At 40.8% G+C, this 25979-nt stretch overlaps 1 protein-coding gene across 10 annotated transcripts in view; it reads right to left on the bottom strand.

The window, feature by feature from the left end:
- The window catches only part of SLC8A3 (solute carrier family 8 member A3), a 145191-nt gene that overhangs the window by 36074 nt on the left and 83138 nt on the right, over window positions 1-25979 (bottom strand). The gene's annotated exons all lie outside the window — the stretch shown is intronic.

Raw genomic sequence — 25979 nt, forward strand, 5'->3', positions numbered from 1 at the left:
ACAGCTTGAAAGGAAAGATGGAGCTCAGCGGTGAGGATCGGTGGCCTTGGCTGTGGACTGTTCCTGGCTGGTACTCTCCAAGGAGATTTACCTGTGCATTCCATCAGGAGATGCAGTAAGGAGACAGGAGGAGGCAGTGCTTAGTAAAGGCTCGCAGGAAAAGAGAAGATAAAGAGGACTGACTGTTGAAAACTGCTCGCTACACTGGCCCAGACACAGCCTTAACTCCAGGAACCTTCCTTAAGTGGCTTCTCTAGCAATTGAGTCAGGAGACAGCAAATGGGGTTGGGTGGAGAAATGACATCAGTTATGTTGGAGTTTGGAAGATGTTCAGACCAGACTCCTTCACAGGAAGAAAGTCCCATCTTTATACCATGGCCCAGGATTGTCATGGATTCTATTGATTAAGGAAACCAAAGTTGTACACGGGCAGAAAAGAGAAGTCCTTTTATTTGTGCACGGAGCTCCATACACTCAGTGGATTTGAATGCCTACATGGTAGGCTCCAAGCTGATGTAAAAAATTGCACTGTAGAATGATCCAGTGTTCCTAAAATGGTTACACATCATTTCACTGGGTCCTCAAAAGTGGCCTGGTGAAGTGGGATTATCTTTACATGAGGAAATGACATAGATAGGTTGGCAACTTGCCCAATGTCACACAGCTGGTAAATGGCAGAGCAGAGAATTGAACTCAAGCCACCTGGACTCCAAATCTAATGTTCTTTCCAGTATACCAATGGTTACCAAAACTAATTATTTAAAGCTGAAGAAAATTTATGTGAAGATGAAAGCCTTTGGTGAAATAGAACCAAACAAAGCGGATACAAGCCGAGACACTCAAGTTGAAGTGGAGAATCTCCCTTCGACAAAACCTCCTTCCACTTCACCTGCCAGAAGAGAGGGTCCTAGGCAGCACTTCTATAAGGGTAGTGGTTGAAGTACCCATATTAGAAACATCTGGTATAATTGTAAAAGTGCCAATTCCTAAGTCCCAGTCCCAGATTCTAATTTGTAGATCTGGGGTACTTTTCTTTGGACAAGCACCCAGGAAATTTGGATAAATACTAATTTAACTGGAGTTAAACAAACAACTCTTGACTCAGAAAATTGGGAGATGGAATAAAATTGCATCACCTATCTCTTTTTCCTATCTGATTCCTCGAGCTCATTTTTAGCAGCCTGAAGTCAGGCATGTCAAAACAATCAGGCTGGATTGTCTTGTGAAGTTTTCCAACTGCCCTCTGGGCCTCCATCAGTGGCTGATCCCTGGGCTCTAGGCTATGTGGGTCATCAAGGTCCAGGTGAGGCCACAGCCATTGTCTGACCTTGGTGGGGTCATCATTGTGCCTAACAGCAGATACAAGGAGACTCTGGGTGGAGGGCAGGGAAGAAGGGTATTGGATTCAAGAGCACAGGAGGGGATGTTTATCAGATGAAAAGTCCCAAAGGAGCATGCAAGATTGGGACTAAAAATATGTTTATTGGCCAAAGCAGAAGGTTTGGGAAAATCTGCAGGGAAAGAATGCCTAATTTCTCATTCATCAAAGGGTTGAAAGAACAGTATGAAAAATGAAGGAGATTCTGAAGGTGCTGTTGAAGGGAGAAGTCAGTGTAAGATTTTTAGTTCTCCTAAATTCGGAGGACCTTAGGATGCTCCCCTCCCTTATAAATAACAGCTTCCTATGGGCAAACACTGTGCTTTACATACATTTAATCCTTCTCATTGAATCCTTCTCAGAGCACTATTAAGTACTAGTAGCATTTCTATTTTGCCCATGAGGAATCTGAAGCTATTAGAAGTCAGGTAACTTTGTCCAAGGTCACCCAGCTAGGAAGTGACAGAACTAGGATTTGACCCCAGTGGTCTGATTCCAAGACCCCTGCATACTTGTCCAAAACCGACTGACCCTAAATAGGTGTAAATAGTCCAATTAAATATCCTTGATAAGATTTTCTAAAAATATCAGATTTCAATTTTTTTAAAATAATTTCTTGGGGGGGTGACCCTACTTAGCTGAAGCTTTTAGGTAATCCAGCACCAGGTAGGTGAAGGAACGTCTCCAAGGGGGTTATATTCCTAATCTCCTTTGCTGCTGCCTGCTCTGGCAGGAGATTGCATTTGTTCAGTTGTTTTTACAAAATCTTCTTAAAACAAAATCTTATTAAATCAACAATAACAACAACAACAATGAAACATATTTATTATGTAAGCCCTGCATACAAGGCAGAGCTGAGATCCCATTTCCTGAAGAAACTGTCCCCATGACTCAGGTCTGCAAGCCCTCTTCCTCTTCCGAACCTGGTCTCATTTCTAGTTTGTAGCTACCACGTGGCACCCAGCACATACAACTTCTGTCTTCTCTCACCTTGCCCTGTAAGCCCCATGGGAGTGTAGCTGTGTCATACACCTCTCTGTTTCTCCAATGCTTGGCCAACTGAGGCTAGCTTAAGCCATCAAGCATTCCTCTGAACCAAAGGGAAAATGAAATTGAAGGAGGCCAAGGAATTATGGGCACAGAGGGAGGCAAGAATGGATAGCCCAAATTCACCAGCCTTCTGTGTAATTTCAATACTGATGGAAATGCTCTTGAATGCATTTCTTTCTTCCCCATCTGTACCAATTCCCTTGGGTCATAATTAACTTTCATATCCCGGCAATTTTTCCTGGGGTCAAGGAGGGACAGGTAGGGAGAGGAGGGAAACAGGGGCAGGAAGGAGACGTGACCTAGTCACACCTCACAATCTGAGCTCATGGTCCAAAGGAAGGTGGCCAATTCTGATTTTAAAAACCTTCATAAGTTTAGGCTCCACATGATTAGTTTCTACTGTTCCACTTTGGAGACTGACCTAGCTCCTCTCCCCAGCATCTCCTTTAGATTCTGACCACATACGTAGAGTGATTGTTTTTCCAAGAATCCATGCCTCAAGCATGAAGCCTTCTGATGAGATTTATCATCTCCGGAGAGCTCTTTACAGTGGACAAAATGCTTCCCCATGCATGACCATTCAGAGTTTCCCAACCACCCTGCAGGTTGGGCAGGGCAGTTATCAAGGACCTCACTTTACTGCTGAAATGAAATTATGGGGTTAGTTTTGGGGGTATATTGGTCTGTTTCCTCTCTCCCAAAGGAAAACAAAATCCTGTTGGGGATTCAGCTGCAAACGTCTTAAGTTTTGGAGGAAGAAGAGAAAGAGAGGCAAGTCCTTTTTTCCAGAGACAATTAACTCTAGCCCTGGTCAGCAGACAATTGACTGTATTTCTTATAACTTGTTGCCTACTATCAACTTCTAATCCCTGAAGGGTAGAAAGCCCCAATAATCCTTTGCATGTGCACTAGGCACTTCTGTTTACAGTTATTTCATTTTATTCTCTTAACAGCCCAGTGAAGTCTATGCAGTTAGGCTCACTTCCACTTGACAGTTACAGGAATTGAGACCCAGCAGTGTCAAAAAATCTGCCCAAGTTCACATAGATGGTAAATGGTACAGCTCAGCTTAGGCTCATGTCTTCAGAAAATGAGGCCAGGGATCTTTTTAATACTCTATTCCTCTCTGTCTTTGAGCATTACCCAATCCATACCTGGACATTCCGGAGGCAAAAAAGCAGTATATGAAGATGGTCCATTTCCATGGATCAAGGGTATTACAACACAGAAGAGAAGTTAAGAGTGAAGATCTTGTTGTCAGGTTGACCTATGTTTGAGTCATGACTGACCACTTATAGCTGAATAACATTGGGAAAAGCACCTTTTTAAGCCTCTATATTCTCATCTATAAAAGGATGTGATAATTAAGTGAGATGCCCTCCTGCAAATTACTTAGCAGAAATTGCTCAATAGTAACTAATTGCTGTTGTTGTGATTCTTGACAATGCTCCTGATATTAATCACTAAATCTGTTTTAATTAAGGGGTCCTGCATAACATTGTATCACCTTGGTTATTTTCCAAGATGGAGGTGGTATCTCACATGCTTAGGCATCTTCTCTATTTCACCAACTTTCCTATTTGCTTTCCTAAAAGCGGCTATAATGTTGCTTCTTTAGCACACCCTCCATTAAGAGTAGTTTCAGTGTCTGCTGTTGTCAACCTTCTGGGGCTTGAGGATAGAAATCCTGTGAGCGGGTGGTTATCTTATCTTTTCACCCTGCTGGTCATTATTCAGCCAAGCTGAACACATTTTTTTCTTTTCATGTTTTTCCTCACACTCTGTTTAGTCAAGTTTCTAAAGTAGCAAACTTGTCATTGAAGTGACCAGACAGAACACTTAGCATTTTTCTCACATGCACACATTTTCAAAGTACTTTTCCATCTCTCTCCAATGCTCAATGTCTAGAGGGAATGTGGTGTTTTGGAGCATGACATTAAGAGAAGGGAAAATTGAATGTTTTCTGGAATTGCTATATGCCTAATGGAGACTTGGAAAATATCCATTGAGAAAGAGGAGAAACGGAGTTGGAGTGAGAAATTAAGAAACTGTCTCAGCTCAGAAAACTGGATTTCAGGGTCTGAAGAGCTCTAGGTCTCCAGATTCCTAGAATTCTGTTTCCCAAATGGTACTTGTTTGACATTGGACATGGGAGGTGTCAAGAATGTGATGGAAGAATGAGTAATAACGTTTATAAGGTGGATGATGGAAGGGAAGACATGGTTAGACAAACTGTGTAGTAGGGGAAGGATGGAAAAAGGCTTTACTGGACCTCAGAAATTAAATTCCATTTACAAATGTCTATTGAGTTTCCATGGGCAAAGTATGTGATAGGCATTAGGGGGTAAAGAAGTTAAAAAGACGAGTAAGACATTGTTCTTTATCTTAAGAGCTTCACATGACATGGACAAACATTGAGAAATAGTGACCCAGAATCCATCAAGGCCAAATTCATAACCTATAGATTCTCTATCTGTGGAAATTTCTTCTGAGCACTGGTGTTGGGAAGGGGAATAGATTAGCACCCCATTTTTCATGCACAACAAAACAAAACACACCAACACACAAAATTATATAGGAATAGTAATAATTATTATTATTTACTACTAAAAAAACACATACAATCAGATTATGATTTCTTTCCTTCTATGCATTCTCCTTGGACTGTACTGGTATTGCCATGAAGGTGAAATATTGACCTGATTTCTCCTGGATAGCAATGTTTGCAGTTCAATCTGGTAACTACTTAATGTGATGCCCCAAGGCCCTTCTCTTACCTTTAACCCGACCCACCTCCCCGCCTGCAATGACCCACATTGACTGAATCCCTACAACATGCCCAGTCCCATTTGGCACCTGGTAAATGTCAGGTATCATAATACGATGCCAACACTATGCAGAGATGAATAAAACAGTTTCAAGATTTCGCAGTCCAATGGGGAAAGCAGACATGTAAGCAGATATTTATACTGTAGTCTCTGATTTATGAAACTGGGAAGAGCCTCAAAGACTTCAAAGTTCCAATATGTCCTATGCCACATGTTGTTTAATAAAATAACAGCTAATACTTACATGTCATTTAATATGCTCCAGGCACTACTATGTGTGCTTTATATGTATTAACTCATCAAATCTCCACAACACACCAGAGTAGGAACTATTATTACTCCTCTCTCAAAAATGATAAAAACTGAGGCACAAGAAGGTTAAGTCACAGCTAATAAATGATAGAGACAGAAAGTGAACTGAGGAGGTCTAGCTCCATAGTGCATGTCCTTAACCACTATACTATACTGCCTTTCAAATGAGATAATAAAAATTGCTTTTCAATGAAATGGAGGGAATTGTGGCCTCTCTCATCACCTCCGAGTCTCTCTCTGGCTTCTTTATAGCCAGCATTTATTGAGTGTTCTTTATGTGCCACATACTATGCTAAATGCTTTCAACACATCTCATTTAAGTCTCCTTCAACTTGATGAGACAGGTACTAGCATTATCTTCATTTTACAGAGGAGGGAATTGAGAATAAGAGAGATTCAGTAAAATCCAAAGTTGCACAGAGAAGCGAGATGAAACCGGGATTCCAGCCTAGCTTAGTTGGACTCCAAGCCCAAAGCCTTCCTTTGTTTAAAAAACAATTTTTTTAATTTAATTTCTTTCTTTTCTTTTTTCTTTTTCTTTTTTCTTTTTTTTTTTTTTTTTTGAGATGGAGTCTCACTCTGTTGCCCAGGCTGGAGTGCAATGGCACGATCTTGGCTCACTGCAACCTCCGCCTCCCAGGTTCAAGTGATTCTCCGGCCTCAGCCTCCCGAGTAGCTGGGATTACAGGAGCCCGCCACCACACTCGGCTATTTTTTAATACTTTTTGGTAGAGACGGAGTTTCGCCATGTTGGCCAGGCTGGTCTCGAACTCCTGATCTCAAGTGGTCTGCCCCCCTCAGCCTCCCAAAGTGCTGAGCCACTGCACTTGGCCAATTTCTTTCTTTTTTTTTCTAAGACAATGTTGTAGCACCAAAGCCTTCATTTGACCTGATATCTTCTTCCTCTGTAATGGGCTATTTTTGCTGGAATCTCAAGAACAATAGGACAAGTATCTCCAGTTCCCTCTGCCTAAGACCAGACATGCCAAGCCTTCTGCTCTGGGAATGTGTTTGCATCCACCTCTTTCTGAGATGAATCAGATTCCATAAACCACCCTCTACTACCCAGAGTCAATGCTGAGTTACGTGTGCTGGAGGGAAACCGATGGGGCTGTCAGTAGAGGAGCCCCGTGAAGTTCCAAAGGCCCTGATCGACTGGAGGCAGGCTGCTGCTGATGTCAGCTTCTATAGGTACCACTATCCAAAGCCTTATGATTTTCCAAGAAAAGAAATATTCTCAAGAATCTCTAGCCATCTAACATAGTTTTAAAATTGCTACAATTGCCCAAAGGGAAAAATAATTCAGAATCTTTCTTATCTCCAGATGTCCTTGTCAAAGTCCAGGCTAGCATATCTTTAGGATAACCATCATAAAAATGAGAAAAGGAAAAGCATTTAATGTGAAGAAGAAGAACAGGAAGACACAGACAGATGGCGCTCTGGAGGAGCACAGCCCTCCTAAGGAAGCTCTTAGGCTGCTGTGCAACTTCCATTTATCTTCTCAAACTTCCTGGAACATTGGCCGCTGATGTACCTTATCTATCTATTGATGGCCCAGAAGTCATATAAACACTGTCTATCAATGGCTACCGGGACTTGTGTCCAGCAGGTTCAGACACTTGCCATTTGATCTCATTTATCTGCACTTTTTTTTCCTTAATGCTCTGCCATAAAAAAGAGTTAAAAGCTATAATCTCCCCCTTTTTCATGTCTTAAGCAGTTACTCTCCAACAAATATTCAAACTCATTTTCTGAATGTACAGAAAAATCATTTGAGCTGCCATTTACAATTTTAGCTCTTAGGTAAATCAAACAAATTGGAAGCAATTGCTGTAAGAGCTGTACAGGCAAACAAATTCAGCTCCATCTCTCATATGTTTCTGCTTCATGGAATTTAAGCTCCATGCACCATCCGTCATTTCTATTTTATAAAAGACGTGCATGGACCAGAACTTTGCAGCCCATGTTAAACAGGAAATTAACTAACAAGTTCTCTAAATATTCATGGTGCATCTACATATGCAAGGAAATGTGCTACAAATTGACAAGGCATAAATTGGATTCTCTGTCCACCAAGAGATTGAAATATATGTGTACAATAGGTAATATTTCATAATTATAGAACAGGTGCTACAGGAAGTGTGTAATCAATGGAGAGAGTATTCACTTGGTAGGTATTAAAGGTTCTTGAAAGGGCTGGGATGGAGCAGGTCATTGAGAATACAAAAGATTCAGGTAAGTGAGGGGCAGAGATTAGGAAAAGAAGATTATGAATACTGAGGCACTGAAACAAGAAAATATGAAGTGCATTTAGCAGACAGTGGGTAGGCCCATGTGGCCAGAGCAGAAAGGTTGTGGGGGCAAGTAATGAGATATACATCTGTTTGGTGTTGCTCTGAGAACTAACAAAGCCCCTTATCTAAATAGGAGTCCCTTGAGAATAGAATTCATCTAGGTAGGTTTTCTGGGGAAGCCAGTGCCCACCAGTCTCCTGTGGATACTGCTCTTTCTTTCCTAAGGATTGCTTTAGAAGCAAATCCCTGAGAGCTGTGTCAGCTAGGATAACTCTCTCTGCTACTCTCAGGTAACGGCTCCTTCCCCATCAGGCTATCAATGCTTCTCCTGCTGCTTCTGACACCTGAGTCACTGGACTCAACATTGAAGACCTGGCTCATAGGTTTCCTGCCAGCATCCTGCGTGGCTTTAGTGGCCCAAGATAACTTATTATAAATCCTTGGCCCTCAGTTCCTTGACCTTTTCCCTTTTAATAGCCTCAACCTTTACTTTACCCATCCACTCTCAAGTCTACACCCTGAGCATTATCATCACCTAGAACTACTCCTCATCAGAGAAATCAAATTCAAACATTCCATAGCTGAACTTCTTATTTTCTTTACCAAAGCTTCTTCTCCTCCTTTAATCCCTATGTCAGTGGATGGTACCACTATGCATTCTTGCCTGCATTCTGGCTTCCTCTCCAGACTACCCCCATTTCCAATCAGGAACCAGATCCTGTTCTTTTTACCTACTTCTACCTCATGAACACATTTTCTTTTTTTCATTCCCTGCTAAAACTCTCATATATTGGCCACCATCACCTCTGGCCTGGATTCTAGTAACAGTCTCCTAACTTATATTCCTGACCTGATTTGTACCCACTCAACTTCACTCACCCAACACAGCTGAAGTTATCTGTTCAAGTGGCAAACCTCAGTATGCTCTTCCTTCCCTCCAAATTTTGAATGGTAACTCCTCTGTCCTCCAAACTTCTTAGCATGCTGAAAGAGGCCTTTTTCTAGAATGTTGTTACTTGTTCTCTTCCTTGCCCAGTTCCACACATCCTCCCCATCTCAGACACCATCTTCTCTGAGATGCTTTTCCCAACTTCCTTAGACTGATTTGGGGAGCCTCCCACAGCTGGTGTTTGCCTTTGGGATGGCACTTAACATACTAAATACTCAATTGAAATTACTTGTTTATAAGACCACCTCCAGCATGAAGAACAGTTTCCAAACCATAACAGGAGCTCATAAATGCTTATGAAATGAATGAAAAGAGATGCAAGTGAGAAACATTTTGAATATAAGAAGGGGAAGTAAGACAAAGTAAAAGATAAATTTAAGGTTTGCTACTGGGTGAAAGAGGTGGGGATTGTGGAGCAATGGGCAGAGGAAGAACTTCCAGAAGAGAAGAAGCAGGTTTTGAAAATGACACTTTCAAGTTGGGCATGCTGACTTGGAGAATGACTAGATATGAGGGAACAGAGCCAGGAAACACAGATTTGGGACTTAGACACAAAGAAGGTATCTTTGAATCCATCTGTGTAGATGATGTGTTTAATACATATTGTGTGGCTTCATTACACCGTCGAGCCATTGTGACTTCCGTTTGCTGTTTTCATGCAATATGATGCTTGTTTTTTAATTGGCTTCTACCAATTTTCCCCCAAAAGATAATTTCTTTGATCAACACATTGGCTGACTATTGATTCATACATTTCTATTTATTTATAGAGAGAGGAGCAGAGGACCAAGATTTGTATACGCAGGAAATTTTACCAATTATCCAGGTAATTCAGGTATAAATTAGAGAGTTTTTTTCTTAATTTTTGAAATAATTATTTTCATTGTTTCTGATTTTGAAGATCTGCGGGGATGTTTTTCTCCTGTAACTACCCTTTCTGTCTTTTTTTTTAACATATTTTGCTAACTGCAGCCATTAATTACCTCATCACACAATCAAGCCATTGTGACTTTTGTTTGCTGTTTTTATGCAGCCTGATGCTTGTTTTTCAATTGCCTTCTACTGTTTTCCCCGAAAGATAATTTCTTTGATCAACACATTGGCTGACCATTGATTTATGCATGTTTTACCAGAAATATTCTTGCTTGATCTCCCTCCTACCTCCTCTAAGTTGATTTCCCATTAAGGAATACTGTGTTCTGAATTTTATTCTCTTCCCTTCCAAGTGAATAATTATCAGTACTTAAACTATCACGTCATATGCGCATGTCCTCCTGCCTACTAATTAATTTCAGAAGCTCAGTGCCCGTTCACAGATAAAAGAACGGTGCATTGGTACTTCACAGGGGTCACATTTTACCCCTAGAACCCCAAATCAGTCCACATTTTCCTAATCGTGGTATACAGGTTTGATTTAGTAAAGTCACAATTATCTTTCAGAGTTGAAATATAAACATAAAGGCGCTTCATGAATCTAATCATATTCCTTCCTGCCACAGGAAGAACCTTCAGTCTTTTGGAAAAACTTGTATATATATAGTGGTTCTTATTCCAAATAAGTTAAATATAGTGAATTCCTGATTCATATAGAAGTATTACAATATTTCCTTGATGAATTTGTATAGCTGGAAGCAGATCTGCCATGAAATGTGAAACCGCATCCCACTTGTGTGAGCTGCCCTGGTCAAATGTGTAAATCTCTAAGTGTAGCAAAATCTCCCTTTGCTCTAGGAAGTAGTTCTTAGCTTTTTGGGGGATCACAAACTGCTTCGATAATTCAGGTGCTTCTTACCAGAAAAATGCACATACTCACACACAATATTTTGTATATAATTTCAGGGGGTTCAAAGATCTTTGAAAACCTAGCCATCAATCCTCTAAAGGTCCATGGAGTGCCAGTTGACAACCCCTGGACTAAGAGCTAAAGATCAATTATTGATGGATGAGGGATTTCATAAACCTCAGAATGTGAGGAAAACAGCTGCAACGATAATGTGCACTGCTGGGCAGCAGCTACAACTCGCAGCAGGAGATGCACGGCTTGTATATAGTCAAGCCCAGCATGGCACTGAGTGGGCTGCCATCTTCCTTTCTGCAGGACATCACGTTTTCTACTCATTTTATTATGGGATTTAATTTTATGGCAGCAGAGCTCTGATTTTATAATGGAAACCAACACAAAATAGCTCCTTTTTTAATAACAAAAATTTGTCTTACAATCATTTCAGCTAAAACAAACTCGGCTTTTAGCAGGAGGGAGAATGGGAAAGGAGGAAGCTCCTGTGTTAAAAGAGCTGCTCTCTTTGCCTCTTCTCCCTTCCTTCCTACAAACCCTGGCTCTTCACTTTCTTTAATATCGTATACCCCCTTGACTCCTACTCTCTTTTATTAGGTCTCATTTCATTTTCTTGAAGCTGGTACTTGAATATCCTATATCAGTTTCAATCTTTCAATGTCTACTATTGATCTCATTTCATATTGCTTTGCAGATATCTGGTGTCGGAGCCACGCACCCCTCCCTTGAATCCTAACAGGGAAGCTTGGTGCTTTTGATCATTTGAATCACCATCTTTTACGTTCTATTTTAACTTGAGGCAACATAATCTCCCTCTTTCAATACTTACTTCAAACTTAGCTGATCTTTGATTTTTCGAAGTCATGTTTAGAAGTGTGACCTGCAGGATATGCCAGCCTGATAACTACAATTACAAACTGGATTATTTTGCTCATCTCACCATCATCCTCACAATTGCATTTATTACTATTTTAAATGTACATGAAAGCTCATTAGTTACTGAGACAATTTGAGATTTTCTCTCCCTTCCCCCAAATCCTCTAAAACACCATTGTGTTATGGATATGTGGTTCTCAAGCCAACATTTCTCACCACGTTACTTCCTATGCAACCCTCACAGACTGTAAACTTTGTTTTTCTTTGATTCTATTCTAAAGAAATCCTTGTAGGGTTCTTGAGATCCTAACTCCACATGATTTTCAAAGGACTTTGATTTTTCTATCCTTAACATCAGGGCTTTATCACCTTCCTTCGTGTCCCTTGGCCTCCAACACTACTGAGCTACTTGCCCTTCCCAGATCCTCATATTCTTCTGCATTTTTGCTTATGTGATTGTTTCTGTCTCGGGTGCACTTCCTCCCTTGTATACCTCATGACCCCCAGTCATTCTTTGAGGGTGTGCTCAAGTGTCCCTCAGCTCTCCTGGAATGCTTTCCTGATGCCCCTCCTCACTTCAATCCAGACCCACATGGATCCCCACCCTGCCCCTGTCATGCCTCTCAGGGCTCTTGTGTTGCAGAGCTGGCAGCTCTGCTTTGTAGCTGTTGATTACTTGTCCATGTCCATACCTCCCTCTAGACAGAAAGCTCCTTAAGGTCTGGGTATTATCACCTAGAGTGTCAACCTCCTTCCCACACCCCTGGTTTGGGGTATATTCATGCCTCTAATCCTAACCACATTGTTCACATGGGAGTGGCTATCTTTTTACATAGCCTATCTCTCCCACAGAATGAATGGCCTAAATGTTCTCTGACAGTCCATTTCCAACATTTAAACTGAAGATGTGGGTCTGAGTGCTGCTGGTAGTAATGTCTCCAGCCCAGTGGAGGGAACCAGTTTGAGAGAAAAAAGATGGCCTAAAAGAAAAAAGAAAGAATTCTGGAGACATTTGCATTCCTGGTTTTCATCATCCCTGGAACTTTCTTTCTCATGCTTTGCTTATGCAAGCCAAAAAAATCCCAATTTCTCCAAAGTGAATTCAAGCTGGGTGTCTGCCCTTTGCAACCAAAGAATCCTCTAAAATAATATGGACCATCTTATTCATGTCTCTACCTCCAGTAGCTGACTCAGATTTTGGCATTTAATATGGGCTTCAGAAACATTGGCATTGTTAGTTCAAAGCCTGAAATTGTATTTGTTGTAATGTGGAATCAGGAATTGAGGTGGGAGCAAGCACATGTCATAATGTGACAGATGGACAAGGCTTATACCTTAGAGCTGTATAGTGAAGTATTAACTCCACACATTCTGAGCATCTCTTTGGGTCTGAGTTTATTCTGGTGGTATTTGGCCTACCATGCTGCAGAAGTGTTGGCTATTTCTTATCTAACCAAGAATGATTAGCTCTCCTAGGGTATAGCCCTGAAAGACAAAATGAGAGAGACCATAGCATGCATACTCATTAGATGACTTGGTTGTCCAGTTGTCTTTGTGTTTGCGTGGTGCACAGGGTATTTGGTGTGGGAGACAGAACAGCTGAGATGGACACTGTTTACCAGCTGTGTGGTCCTGGGAAAGCAGCTTCACTTCTCTGGGCCCTCTTTTCCCTATTTGCCAAGTGGAGAGAGTAACACCTGTCTCACATACCTCACAGGACTATTGAGGGGATGAGACAACACATACGGCAACACTTTGTTGTTGTCAAATCCTTTCTCAGAGAATCATGTCAGGCCCTCTTCTAAACACAGAGGCCACTTCAGGGCTGATGGGCCGGCTTTGATAAACACATGACATAAGGCAGGGTCACTGCTTCAAGAACTGGCCTCATGCACCTTTGTCAAGGAGCTGGGGTGAGCCTTCCCAATTCTGATGTCTGCTTTCTGTCTTTTCTGTCCTCTTGACTCAATTGTCAAACAAAGCTTCTTGACACTTCCCATTCTGCCACTGCTCAGAGAGCCTCTCTGCTCAGTATTTGGTCATGAAAATGGAGCCTGTGTCCCCTGCCTACCTGCCCCATTTGGGTGGAACACACCCTCTGGTACCTGCCCTAGCTCATGAGTTGGGCTGAACCTCAATGAACCTGACAGGCTGTTCCCTCCCAGGCTCCCACTAGTTTGTGCAGTGTCCAGGATGTTTCCATTGAACACAGGTGGCTCTGCATAAGACCCAATGTTGACTGCTAGCCGGACATGTGGGCCAGCATGGAAAAGTGGCCAGGGGAGCCCCATCTAGTTCTGACTCTGTTTCCTTCCTTGCTGACCTTTGCATAAGTAGCTTCCAGCAGCTTCCTAGTCTGCTAGACTGGAAAGGACATCTCTGACAGCCAGTCCATGGCCTCCCCACCAATGGGAGGCAGTGGTAGAAAGATGGAGGCTTTGGAGATGGGTTCAAATCCCAGCGCTGCAGCCACCTACCTGTGGGAACTAGCACATAGAACACAACATTGCTGAGTCAGACTCAGACTGTGAAATGTGGATAATAAAGCTTGCATAACATTGCAACAATGGCTGATGGTTGGGTAGCTGCCTGGTATAGAACAGGTGCTCCATAAATATCAGTTTCCTTTCCCATCCTTCAATTATAAAACCAACAGTTCCCATCATTACGACGTCTTACATTTCTGGAAGAAACTTGCATGCACAATCTGATTCCACAAATGAAAATATTTCAAAAAGAAATCTTGGGGGAAGAAATACATTTCCTTTTCTCCCCAACCTGCTGAGACCCAAATTCTGGGTTCTGCATTCTCTCAGCAACAAGACAGAACACAGCATGAGCTATACTCCTTCCCAGCATGGGGACATTGAGGGAGGAGTGGGGTTCAGTTTGTCAGCCTGCTCAGGATGAAGACAGAATGTCCCCCCTGCTGTTGATGGGGAGGAGGTGCCTCCAGAGCTCTGAGCTGGGTATGGCTCAGCAGAGCCCTCAAGGCTGAGGATGTGTGTCAGCAGCAAAAATAATTCCCATCTGCCAGGGCTGCTTATGTTTTCAAAGCACTTTCTCTTCTTTTATCTGTTTTTCCTCATACAGTATCCATGTGAGTTGAGTATTATCGTTCCCATCTGACAGATGAGGAAATGAAGCAGACAGCAGCAGTATTGCAAAGTGGCTAAAGCACAGGCCCTTAGGAATCAGACACAGAGCTGTGTCCACATCCTGGCTCAGGTGCATAACCTTGAACTAGCTGCTTACCCTCTGAGCCTCCATTTGCTTATCTAAAGTGTGGATCTGCAAGCGCTCACCTCATAGAGACGTTGTGAGGTTTACAAGGGCTTGTCACGTGGTAGAAAGAACACAGGTTTTGGAGATGAGTATTCAAATCCAGGTGTTCTAAGTATTGGCTCTACAAGGGTGCCATTGACAGATCAGCAAAGAGCTTTCTTTCATAACTTCACTTTGGTTGCTTCTGTCCTGGGGCTGTTGGCCTGAGACTATCCTAAGAGGGCCCTAGGACCCCCTGGCCAGCCAGTGCTCTGAGTGGGCTCTGGGACAAAGTAGAGAAACCACATTTCCTGTAGAAATCAGACGCCACATCCAGTGACCTAGCATTGACACAAAGGCCAGAGACCTGGACCCCAGCCAGGTTCCTTCTGTGCCTCAGTTTCTCCATCTGTGAAAAGCACACAACTTACTTATGCTTTGAGCTGTTGAATTGTCACTTGGACCACAACAGCGGCTTCCTTCCCGGCCTCCTTGCTGCCCATAGACCTGGCAGTTGCATCTTTACTCCATTTCGCTGCCCTTTGGCTGAATCCTTGACCCAAGCTTTCTCCCTGGAATGTGGAGTTTTAAGGATACTATGGCTGCCTGAAACAACGATATGTAAACTTGGGAGGGTGGATCCTGATTTTTCTATGTGTGTGATGCAACAATGAAAAATCATCTGAAGAGAGAGGGAAATGAGACAGAGGTGCAGAGAGAAGCAAGTAAGAAACCGTTTGGTTCCAGGGGAAAAGACAGGAAGGTACTGGCAACTTCCCAGTTCCTGTTTTCAGCACCTGTTAAGGCCTGTTTGCCCTTCTGTGAGTTCTACACATACCCATATATCTTCTTTTTTTTTTTCGTTGAGGTGGAATCTCGCTCTGTCACCCAGGCTGGAGTGCAGTGGCGCAATCTCTGCTCACTGCAACCTCCACCTCCCGGGTTCAAGCAAGTATCCTGCCTCAGCCTCCCAAGTAGCTGGGACTACAGGTGTGTGCCACCACGCCCAGCTAATTTTTGTATTTTTAGTAAAGATGGGGTTTCACCATGTTGGTCAGGCTGGTCTTGAACTCCTGACCTCAGGTGATCCACCTGCTTTGGGCTCCCAAAATGTTCGGATTACAGGTGTGAGCCACTGTGCCTGGCCCCCATATATCTTATATATTCAACTTTATAGATATATAAAAGGTGCCTTTACTGGGTTCCTGCTTCTTATAACCAAAAGAGAGTGACAAGCATCCACTTCCTACCCTGTGTTTGGATGGGCTACATTGTCACTGGTTGTTCCTAGTCATGTCCAATTGTCACAGCACCCAGGTAAGTTCTTGGGCTGAAGAGGGTGTCACTGAACACAAATCGTTGACAATGAACAAGATGAATGTAACTCCAGGACAGGTGGCCCCTGCTTTACTGTGCAAGAAGATTTCAGCTGATCTATCTCAACATTTTCCCTGGATGTTTTCAAGTAGGAGGCAATATAGATTGGTGATTAAGAGCACAGGTCCCAGAATCAGACTGCCCAGTTTCACATCACAGCTCCACCCACTTACTAGTTATGTGACCTTGAGCAAATTCCTCTATCACTCCACACCTCAGTTTACTCATGTATCAAATGGGGGTATTTACAGTACTCAGCTCACAGGGATATTGTAAAGAATAATAAACAAATCCTCAATTCATGTCCCTCTTCATTCTCAAGTCCTAAACACAACAGAGAATGCATTTAGAGGAGAGGCTGTGGCAGGTGGGGCTTGCAGTGGATTCTGGTTTCATCTTTTCCACTTTGGTCTTTTGCGGGATGAGGAGGGAAGCTGTAAACTTCAGAGAAAACTGAGGCCTTGAAGAGGGGCAGGTCAACAAAGAGATAAACAAAGATAAACAAAGAGATAAACAGAGTCTTGTGAGTAAAAAGGGGACCAACTTGCCAAGCCAAGTGAGGCCCTCGTAGCCATCCTTCTGTGAGGTAACTGCATAGAAATGTGGGAAATTAAACGTCCTGAGGAAGGAGCTGCAGGACTGTGGGCTGGCCGCTAGAGAGGCTCCTGCTGCCTGACAGTGTGAAGGCAGGACACAGTTCTGCAAGAAATGTTGTGGGGGACCATGGGCTCAAGGGAGATGCAGCAATCAATACAAACTAACTGGGAATATGGGAAGAAGGGCAATGCAACAGAGTCAGAATGAAATTTGTGAAAATCTTGATCGTAAAGATTTTTATGAATTTAGATACCACCCTCAGAAAAGCATTTTCCTTTAAAAAAAAAAAAAAAACACCTCTTTGAAGATGAATGAAATCCCAGCAGCACATCTGCAGACTGCTTTCAGCTCAACAATACAAAGTTACTATAAATGGTTCTGTGTACAGAATGTCATTTAAAATGTGTGACAGGCCAACAACACGTTACTAATCTAGGACTGCAGATTCTCAAATCCGGTTGTCTGGGTACAAAACCTGGCTCCACTATTAATTAGCTGGAGGACCTCAAATGAGTTTCCCAACCTCTCTGTGCCTCAGTTTCCTTGTTTGTACAATGGAGACTGTTTAAGTGTCTAGTCCATAGAATTAGGGAAAATGAGTTAACACATATAGAATGCTTAAAACACCATGTGGCATAGTAAAAGTTCAATAAACATTAGCTGTGACAGCTGCATGTGGTTTTTTTTTAATCTCTTTGTCTTGTAATACAAGAACACAACAACATGCACACACACTCCAACAATCCAATGCAAACAACCACTCCAGCCTAAAGAGCTCTTTAAAGTACAGGGGCAGGTGAGGGCATAGTCTGGCTGAAAAGCACAAGCAAGAGTTCTCAGAACCTCAGAAGCCAAGGGTGCACTTGGCATCAGATTCCAGCACCAATTACATGGTAGGTGTGCTTTCTCTGACCCCCTAGATCCCGTCTTTGAACATAAACCTCCAATGTGTTAGTGTTGTCCTCTCTTTCCTGCTATTGCTCTGTCTTCTTCTCTGCCACTATCCTGGCTGCCCCATCAGGTCTGTGGGAGGGGAAATCTGTAAGCAGCAACATCAATCACACTCCCTAGCATAAGTGTCACCCTGGCTGGGCCAACTAAGCTCATGGAAAGGGAGATCAGAGGTTCCCCTGACATGTGACCAGGACAGGTATTATGGCAAGTGTCCATGGGCTTCCAGTGGGAAGAGCTAACCAGAGAACACCAGCCTCATGCTCCCAAAAGAGGTGCTCCATCCTTCTTCCAATTCCATAAAACTCTTTTCTTTAGAGGTTTTCCTTCTTTTTCTCACTTTTTTTTAAAAAAAACCCTCTGCCTATACAGTCACCTCCCCCTTTCCCCAATCTCTATCTCATTACGCAACTGCATGGGCTAAAAATACTTCTGGCAGCCGTGATCAAACCCAAACTGAGCAAGATGCAGATTTAATGAGGCTTCCATGGAAACAAGATTCCTTTTGCCAGGCAGAAGAAAGTGTCTGCGAGGGAAAGGAAGAGGGCAGGGAAGCAGGTGGAGAAGAGACTGAGGTGTTGGTTAGATGGGGGCAGCGGGAAGTTGGAGGAAGCCTCTTGGCCCAGCAGCGCTTTCTGGAAGGGGTCCAGCCCACTGCTGGGGACTGCACCCACTGGGGACAGTCAGCTGTCCTGGTCAGCAGCATCTTAAAAGCCACACCGTGTGAGCTCATCAAAGGAAACCACAGCTTCTGCCAGGCTAAAGACAAATATTTACCACTAGAGTCCCTTAAACAGTCAAACACTTAGCAGCTGAGAAATAATTAAATGAAAACACAAAAATGAAAAGGTGCCGACTCTGGAGTTCCTGGTAGTGCTTTGATTATATCCAAGAAAGTGCAGAAGAGAAAGGTTGAGAAAAGCCAGACAGATGTGATGATTTCTATCCTGCAGGTTTTCTACTCCTTTGAGGAGGCATTTCCTTGCAGCCCACGGTTCTCCGGGCTGCTAGAGGTGTGAGGTTCCTGAAAGAATCTCAGAGGGAAAGCAGAACTCTTTAACAAATGCCAGGTGGTTCAATGATCCCCAGTTTCATCTCACCAGAGCAGGGATAGCACCTGATGTAATCCTGCTGCCTCTTCCAGGCCCTTACCATTTTCTTGCTATTTTCCATTGCAATTGCACTAATTTTTCACATCCCGAGAAGGAGGGTACATACTGGTTAAAAAGCGGGGTCAGCAAACTATGATTCACAGACTAAATCCAGGTCTGATTTAGCCCATGAGCTGTTCTTGTAAGGTTTGTAAATTTTAAATGTTTTTTACATTCCAGAAGATTGTGACAGAAAGAAGAATACGTTACAGAGACCCTATGTTGCCCACAAAGATTAAGATACCTACTGTCTTCCCTTTACAGAAGTAGTTTGCTAACCTCTGGTTAAAAGCAAAGACTGTGGAATCAGATAGATTTAGTTGCAAATCGCAGCTCCTTCATGGACTAGCATAATGACTGTAAAGAATTTACTTTATCTCATTGAGTCTCAGTTTTCCCAATTGTAAAGTTGGGCTAAGAGTGCCTGTCTCATAGAGAATGAAGCTAACAGCTTAGCACAGTGTTGACCACGTAAATGGTCTACAAATGTAGTTAGTACTACCATCAGGAAGGATGGAAAAGTAAGCTTGAAGCATGGCAGGAAAATGACCTAGATTTGTTTTTCAAGGATACACTGCCTGCAAATATTCTGCCTCTTGGTTTGCACTAAGCATCAGATATGCATCCTTACGATTGATTCAGGAATTATATTCAGAATTCCCAGAGTTCTAAGGCTACAATGCTTCCCATGGGTGCAGGGATCCTGGGCCACAAGTCGTTTAAAAAGCATCTGATAATAAACTCCTAAAGCCAGAATCTGCTGCTCACCTAAATCACTACCTTACAGCATTGTGCTCTAAGTCTGGTCCATTATGCACGAGACCTCCTAAAACCAATGTTATCATGTTAAGATCCCTGTGCTGACTTACCCATGGCTTCTAGAATGTGGAATGGCAGAAAGGTGGCAAAGAACATGTACTTAGAAATCAAGCAGCCTTTAATAGTACAAAGCCACTTTGGCCTACCTTGTTCTCCTCTTCATCTTTTATAAATGACTGGATAAATAAATGAGTTCAAAAGCCCTGAAGAAACACTAGCACTGCATTCAATCATCCCTTGGAATAAATAACTGGGCTTCTGAGCCAAAGTGTTGCTTAGAAGGTGGTGCTGATGAGGTCAAGGTTAAACCTGGATCAGCCACTCAACTTTGTGTGGTCAGACATTCAGATGGTGTTTCCAGCCTCGGCCCAGTTGTCCTGGGAATGTCCACCCTGATCACAGAGGAGCTAGGTGGGGAATGCAGAGCTCAGCACATTCACTTCTACTTAGGGACAACAGCACACAAATGACTGCAGGGCTTCTCGATTGATGGCTGATTTTTGACGTAGTCTTTATTGGTTTTTTAAAAAAGAGGTATTAGAATGTTTAAGATGCATTTTTGCAATAAGAAGGTTCAAGCAACTTTAGATTTTAACAGGGATAGCAAAGAGCTTCACAAGGCCAAGAATGGAAATGGGGAAACTGCTCAGTGTTGGAATTAATGGGAGCAAAATGATTATAAGCCCTCACAGGACTTCCTTTGTGCTCACTGATATTTATTAAGGGCATAAAAAGCCTACATGATTCCAATCTGAAAAACTAAAAACACATTGCAAAAGAGGGATTATACTTTGCACACATTTTGCCCTATAAAGTAAGGATAGAAAGAACCCAAGAGAATGGAAGATGAAGCAGTGTTCTGGAAAGAACTCCTGATTAGAGGCCAGGAGACTGTTCTAGCTGTATTTCTGCCTCTGGTACTATGAGCATTGCCAAATCATCTGGCTTTTCTGTGTCTCACAATCTTTATCTGATAATATTCACAATCTTCCTTAAAGGGTTTTGTGAGGCTCAGAGGAGCTATGCAGAAAATCCTCTTTGAGGAGTGAAAAAGACTACACGAATGTAAGGTATTATGTTTGTCATCAATGATAAAATGAGTAGACGATCTAAAAGACAGAAGTCAATTCATTTATTCAATAGGTACATACTGCATACCTACTAGGTGACAGGCACTAATAATACTGTGGATGTGGTATAAATAAAAGAGGCAGGATTTCTGTTCTCCTGGACTGTGGATTCTGTGAGGGCAGACAGACATAAAATAAACAACACATAATTACAACTTAAATAAGTGCTTTGAAGGAAAAATATAGGGTAAAACAAGAGTATGTGATGGGGGATGAAATATAGACTGACTGAACCAGGAATGGCCATCCTTAGGAAATGATGTTTCAGTTATGAGGATGAGTAACAGTGGATAAAGAAAGAGAATGGTGGATCATTGTTAATGGGGAAAGAAGAACGTGTGAAAAAACCTGGTGGTAGAAGTTCAAAGAAAGAGAGAAGACTAAAAAAAAGGTGGATGAGGGACAAGGTGGTGCAATAAGAAACTAGAGAAATAGCCAGAATTTGTATCATGCGGGGCCTTGAAGAAGATGTTGTAGATCACAAAGTTATTCTAAGAGCAATGGAAAGCTACCAAGGGGTTTGGGGCAGGAAGTGACATGCCCCAGTTTGTATTTTTAAAATGATCCAAGTTGAACTTGTACCTCTGGCCATGATGGAGGAACTGGTACTAGAAATGATCTCCCATTGAAAACAATCATAAAACTGGAAAAACAATTTGTAGAAATCATTTTCAGGTATTGAACAGCAAACAGTGCAAACTTACAATCTTTGAGAGAAGGGAAATGCGTGAAGCAATTACTACACAATTGTCCAGCCTTTTCTCTGCAGATACTTTCCTATTGTGGAGCAGGAAGATGGAGCCCACAGAAAGTGACAGTTTAGCTCCCCTGAGAAGGCAGAAGATAAGAGTTCTGAGTTGTTAAGGTGAGTGAAATTCACAAGATAGGGTCCCTAGAAAAGGAGGCTATACTTGACGTTTAGCTTCCTAAACATCAAATATTGAGAGGGCCCAGATGTTTCTATGGGGTTTTCCTGCAAGTCTTTGGCTGAAGGCTGAGCTGTCCAAGTGCAAGCAAGATTCCACAGGACCCAACAGAGATCTCTTCTTACAGGCCTGAGAGATGAATGATGAATACATAGGTAAGACCATGTCAAGAAATGTTGCAGTTCCTGCTCAGGTGAGAACTCATTGACTATCTCAGGCAATAGAAATAAATGTGATAGAAGTAAGGAGCATACAATAGAGCAAGAGTTGTACCCTAGGACTAACTTTAAAACTAAAATAGGCTCACTGTAACAAAGAATAAGATCAAGTTTGACAGGAACAAAAAGTTCTACTAGTAATTTAACTACTTCCAGAACAAAACTCAATACCCTTAAAAGGAAGATAATGTAATTGATACTGTTTATAATATTTCATTTCAATATACAGCAAACAATAAATAATTACTAGACATGTGAAGAAACAGAAAAAAATGTGACCGACAGATAAGGTAAAGATCACTCAATAGAAAATAACCCCAAGATGACTCAGATGGAATTAACTGACAAGGACTTGAAAGCAGCTATTAAAATATGTTTAAGAACCTAATATTGTGGTCATAATGAATGAACAGACAAAAAATCTTAGCAGAGAAATTAATACTATAAATAATAACCTAATAGAAATTCTAGATCTGAATGGCCTTAATATCAGATTGAAGGTGGCATAATAAAGGATAAGTGAACATTAATAGAGATCAAGATAAATTGTCCAATCTGAAGAACATAGAGAAAAAAATTGAAAAATGAACAGAGTCTTAGTGATCTATGGGACAACGTCATGCAGTCTAACCTATGTACAACTGGAGTTCCAAAGAGAGTAGAAAGAATGGAGAAGAAAAATTATATAATAATTGGCTTAAATTTTTCCAAATTCGCTGAGAAATAAAAAGCTCACAGAAGTTAGAAGCTCAAGGAACACCAAGTGGAATAAATACAAACAACAATAATACCACTTAGGCCATCATAATCAAAGTGTTGATAACCACAGATAAAGAGAAAAATATCTTGAAACAGCCAAAGAAAAATAATACATTGTGTATAGAGAAAGAGCAAATAATCAATGACTTTTCCTCATAAACAACAGAAATCAGAAGACAATGAAACCCAAGAGTATAAGAGAAAACTGCCAACCTAGATTTCTATGTCCAATTAAAATATATTTCAAAAACGAAGGCAAAATAAAGATATTTTAAGATACATGGAAATAGAGAATATGTTGCTAGAAGTTCTGCACTGAAATGCTAATGGAAATGACACCAAATGAAAACGGGTTTACAGATAAGACTGAAACAGGTAAGAATGAAAAGAAAGCAGAACTGGTAAGTATGTAGGTAAGAATAAAATGTTATATGTATTTTTCTACTCATAAAATTTTTAATTCACACAAGGATTTGGAAAAAGATTATAACACTCTATTGTGGATTTTACAATGTACGTGATGTAATACATACGGAAACAATAGCACAAAGAATGGGAGTGTAAAGGGACATAGACTGCTGCAAGCTTCTTCTATTTTATGTGAAGTGGTACAATATGATTTCTAAATTGTCTGTGGTAAGTATACATATTGCTATCCCTAGAGCAAACAATAAAAAATAATACAAAGATATATAGCTATAAAGCCAATTGAGGAATTAAAATGGAATACAAAAAAAAAATAACTGAAAAGAAGGTAATAAACAAGGAAATGAGGAACAACAACAAAAGATGGGAGATGTGACAAATAACAAGACGGTAGATTTAACTCCAACTGTATTGATAAGCATATTATATGGAAAGGCAGAAATTGTCAGAAAGGAGTAAAAATAATCAAGACACAATTAACTGCATACTGTCTACAAGACATGGACTTAAGTATAAAGGGATAAATAGTGTGAATATAAGATAATGGAAAAATATAAACTATGCAAATGGTAAGCATAAAAAGGATGAAGTGGCTACATTCATATCAGTTAAAAAGACTTCAAGATAAAGAATATGACCAGAGATAAATAGGGACATTGCATAAATAATAACGGAACCAATTCATCAGGAAGATACAACAATCATGAATGTATGTGTTTAATAACAGAGTTTCAAATTACATGGAACAAAACTGACAGAACTAAAGAGAGAAATAGCCAATTCCACAATCATAGCTGTAGGTTGTTAACATCCTTGTCATAGTAATTCATGAAATAATTCTACAAAACTTAGGATATAGACAATCTAAATAATTTTATCAATCACCTCATTGTCATATATAGAATTTTATACCCAATGACTACAGAATACACTTTCTTTTCAAGAGCACAAGGAATGTTCACCAAGATAAATCACCTGATAAAGATAAAGATTGTGGGATTGGCCATTTCTCTCTTTAGTTCTGTCAGTTTTGTTTCATATAATTTGAGACTCTGTTATTAGACACATACACATTTATGATTGTTGTATATTCTTGATGAATCAATTCGTCTATTATTTATGAAATATCCCTACTTATCGCTGGTAATATTCTTATCTTCTTATCTCTGGTAATATTCTTAATACATTTCAAAAGGCTGAAACTTTATAATGTATATACTTGGATTGTAGCAGAATTAAATTAGAAATCAATAATAGTAAGGTATCTGTGAAAGTCTTCGAATATTTGGAAACTAACTACATATTTCTAAACAGCCTATGGGCCAAAGAAGAAATCACAAGAAAAATTAGAATATATTGAATAAAAGACAATGAAAAGACAATATCAAAATTTGTGAGATACAGCTAAGGCAGTGCTTAAAGGGAAATGTGTAAGTTTAAATGCACTTATTAGAAAAGAAGAAAGGTTCAAAATCAATGATCTCAGCTTCTATCTCAAGAAGCCAGAAAAAAAAATGAACAAATTAAACCCAAAGTGAAGAGAAGGAAGAAAAGAATAAAGATAAGAATTGGAATCAGTATAATGTAGATAAAAAATAGGAAAAATTATCAAAGCCAAAATGTAGTCCTTTGAAAAGATTAATAAACTTGGTAAACCTCGGCCAGGCGCGGTGGCTCACGCCTGTAATCCCAGCACTTTGGGAGGCCGAGGCAGGTGGATCACAAGGTCAGGAGATCGAGACCATCCTGGCTAACGTGGTGAAACCCCGTCTCTACTAAAAATACAAAAAATTAGCCGGGCATGGTGGCTGGTGCCTGTAGTCCCAGCTGCTCGGGAGGCTGAGGCAGGAGAATGGCGTGAACCTGGGAGGCAGAGCTTGCAGTGAGCCGAGATCGAGCCACTGCACTCCAACCTGGGCGACAAAGCGAGACTCTGTCTCAAATAAGAAAAAATAAAATAAAATAAAACAAAATAAAATTGGTAAACCTCTAGCAAGACTTCTTTAAAAAAGTGAGAGAGGGAACATCAGGACAGATCTTATAGACATTCAAAGGCTAATATAGGAATATTATCAAAGACTTTGTTGTAGTAAGTTTAACAACTCAGATGACATGGGCAAACTTCTTGAAAAACACAATTCATCAGAATTGTCACAAGGTAAGATAGAAAATATAAGTACTATGTATTAAAGAAATTGCATTATTTATCAAAAACCTTCCCCCAAGGAAGCTCTAAGTCCAAATAGTTTCTCTGGTATATTCTGTTGACCATCTCTGAAACAAATAATTTCAACGTTGCATAAATTCTTTCAGAAGATAAAGGTGAAAATACTTCTTGACTTACTTTGTGAAGCTTACCTGACCTTGCTTTCTTAAACCCTTACAAAAACCTTACAAGAAAAAAAAATTGCAGACCAACATCTCTCATGAAAAGACACCACAAATACTTAACAAAATAGTATCAGATTGAACCCAGAAGCATACAAAAAGGATAACACATCGATGACCAAGTAGGATTTATGCCATGAATTTAAATTTGCTTCACATTTGAAAAATCAATAAATGTGATTAAACCATATTAGAAGCTTTAGAAAGCAAAACGATATGATCATTTCAACAGATACATAAAGGAATGACAAAATTCAAACTCATTCATGGTTTAAAAAATTATTATGAAATAATAAACTGAATAACATACTGAAATAATAATAGACTGAATTAATCAGTCTGATAAAAGGCATCTATGAAAAACTGACAGAAAACATATTAAAGCAAACTGGAAACAAAGCAAGAATGTCCATTCTTACCACTTTTATTCAACATACTAGAGGTCCTAACCAGTGCAGTAAAACAAGAAAAAAGACGCATGTGCCTCTTAT

This window comes from Homo sapiens, chromosome 14 (assembly GCF_000001405.40).
Source record: "Homo sapiens chromosome 14, GRCh38.p14 Primary Assembly".
Taxonomy (NCBI): Eukaryota; Metazoa; Chordata; class Mammalia; order Primates; family Hominidae; genus Homo; species Homo sapiens.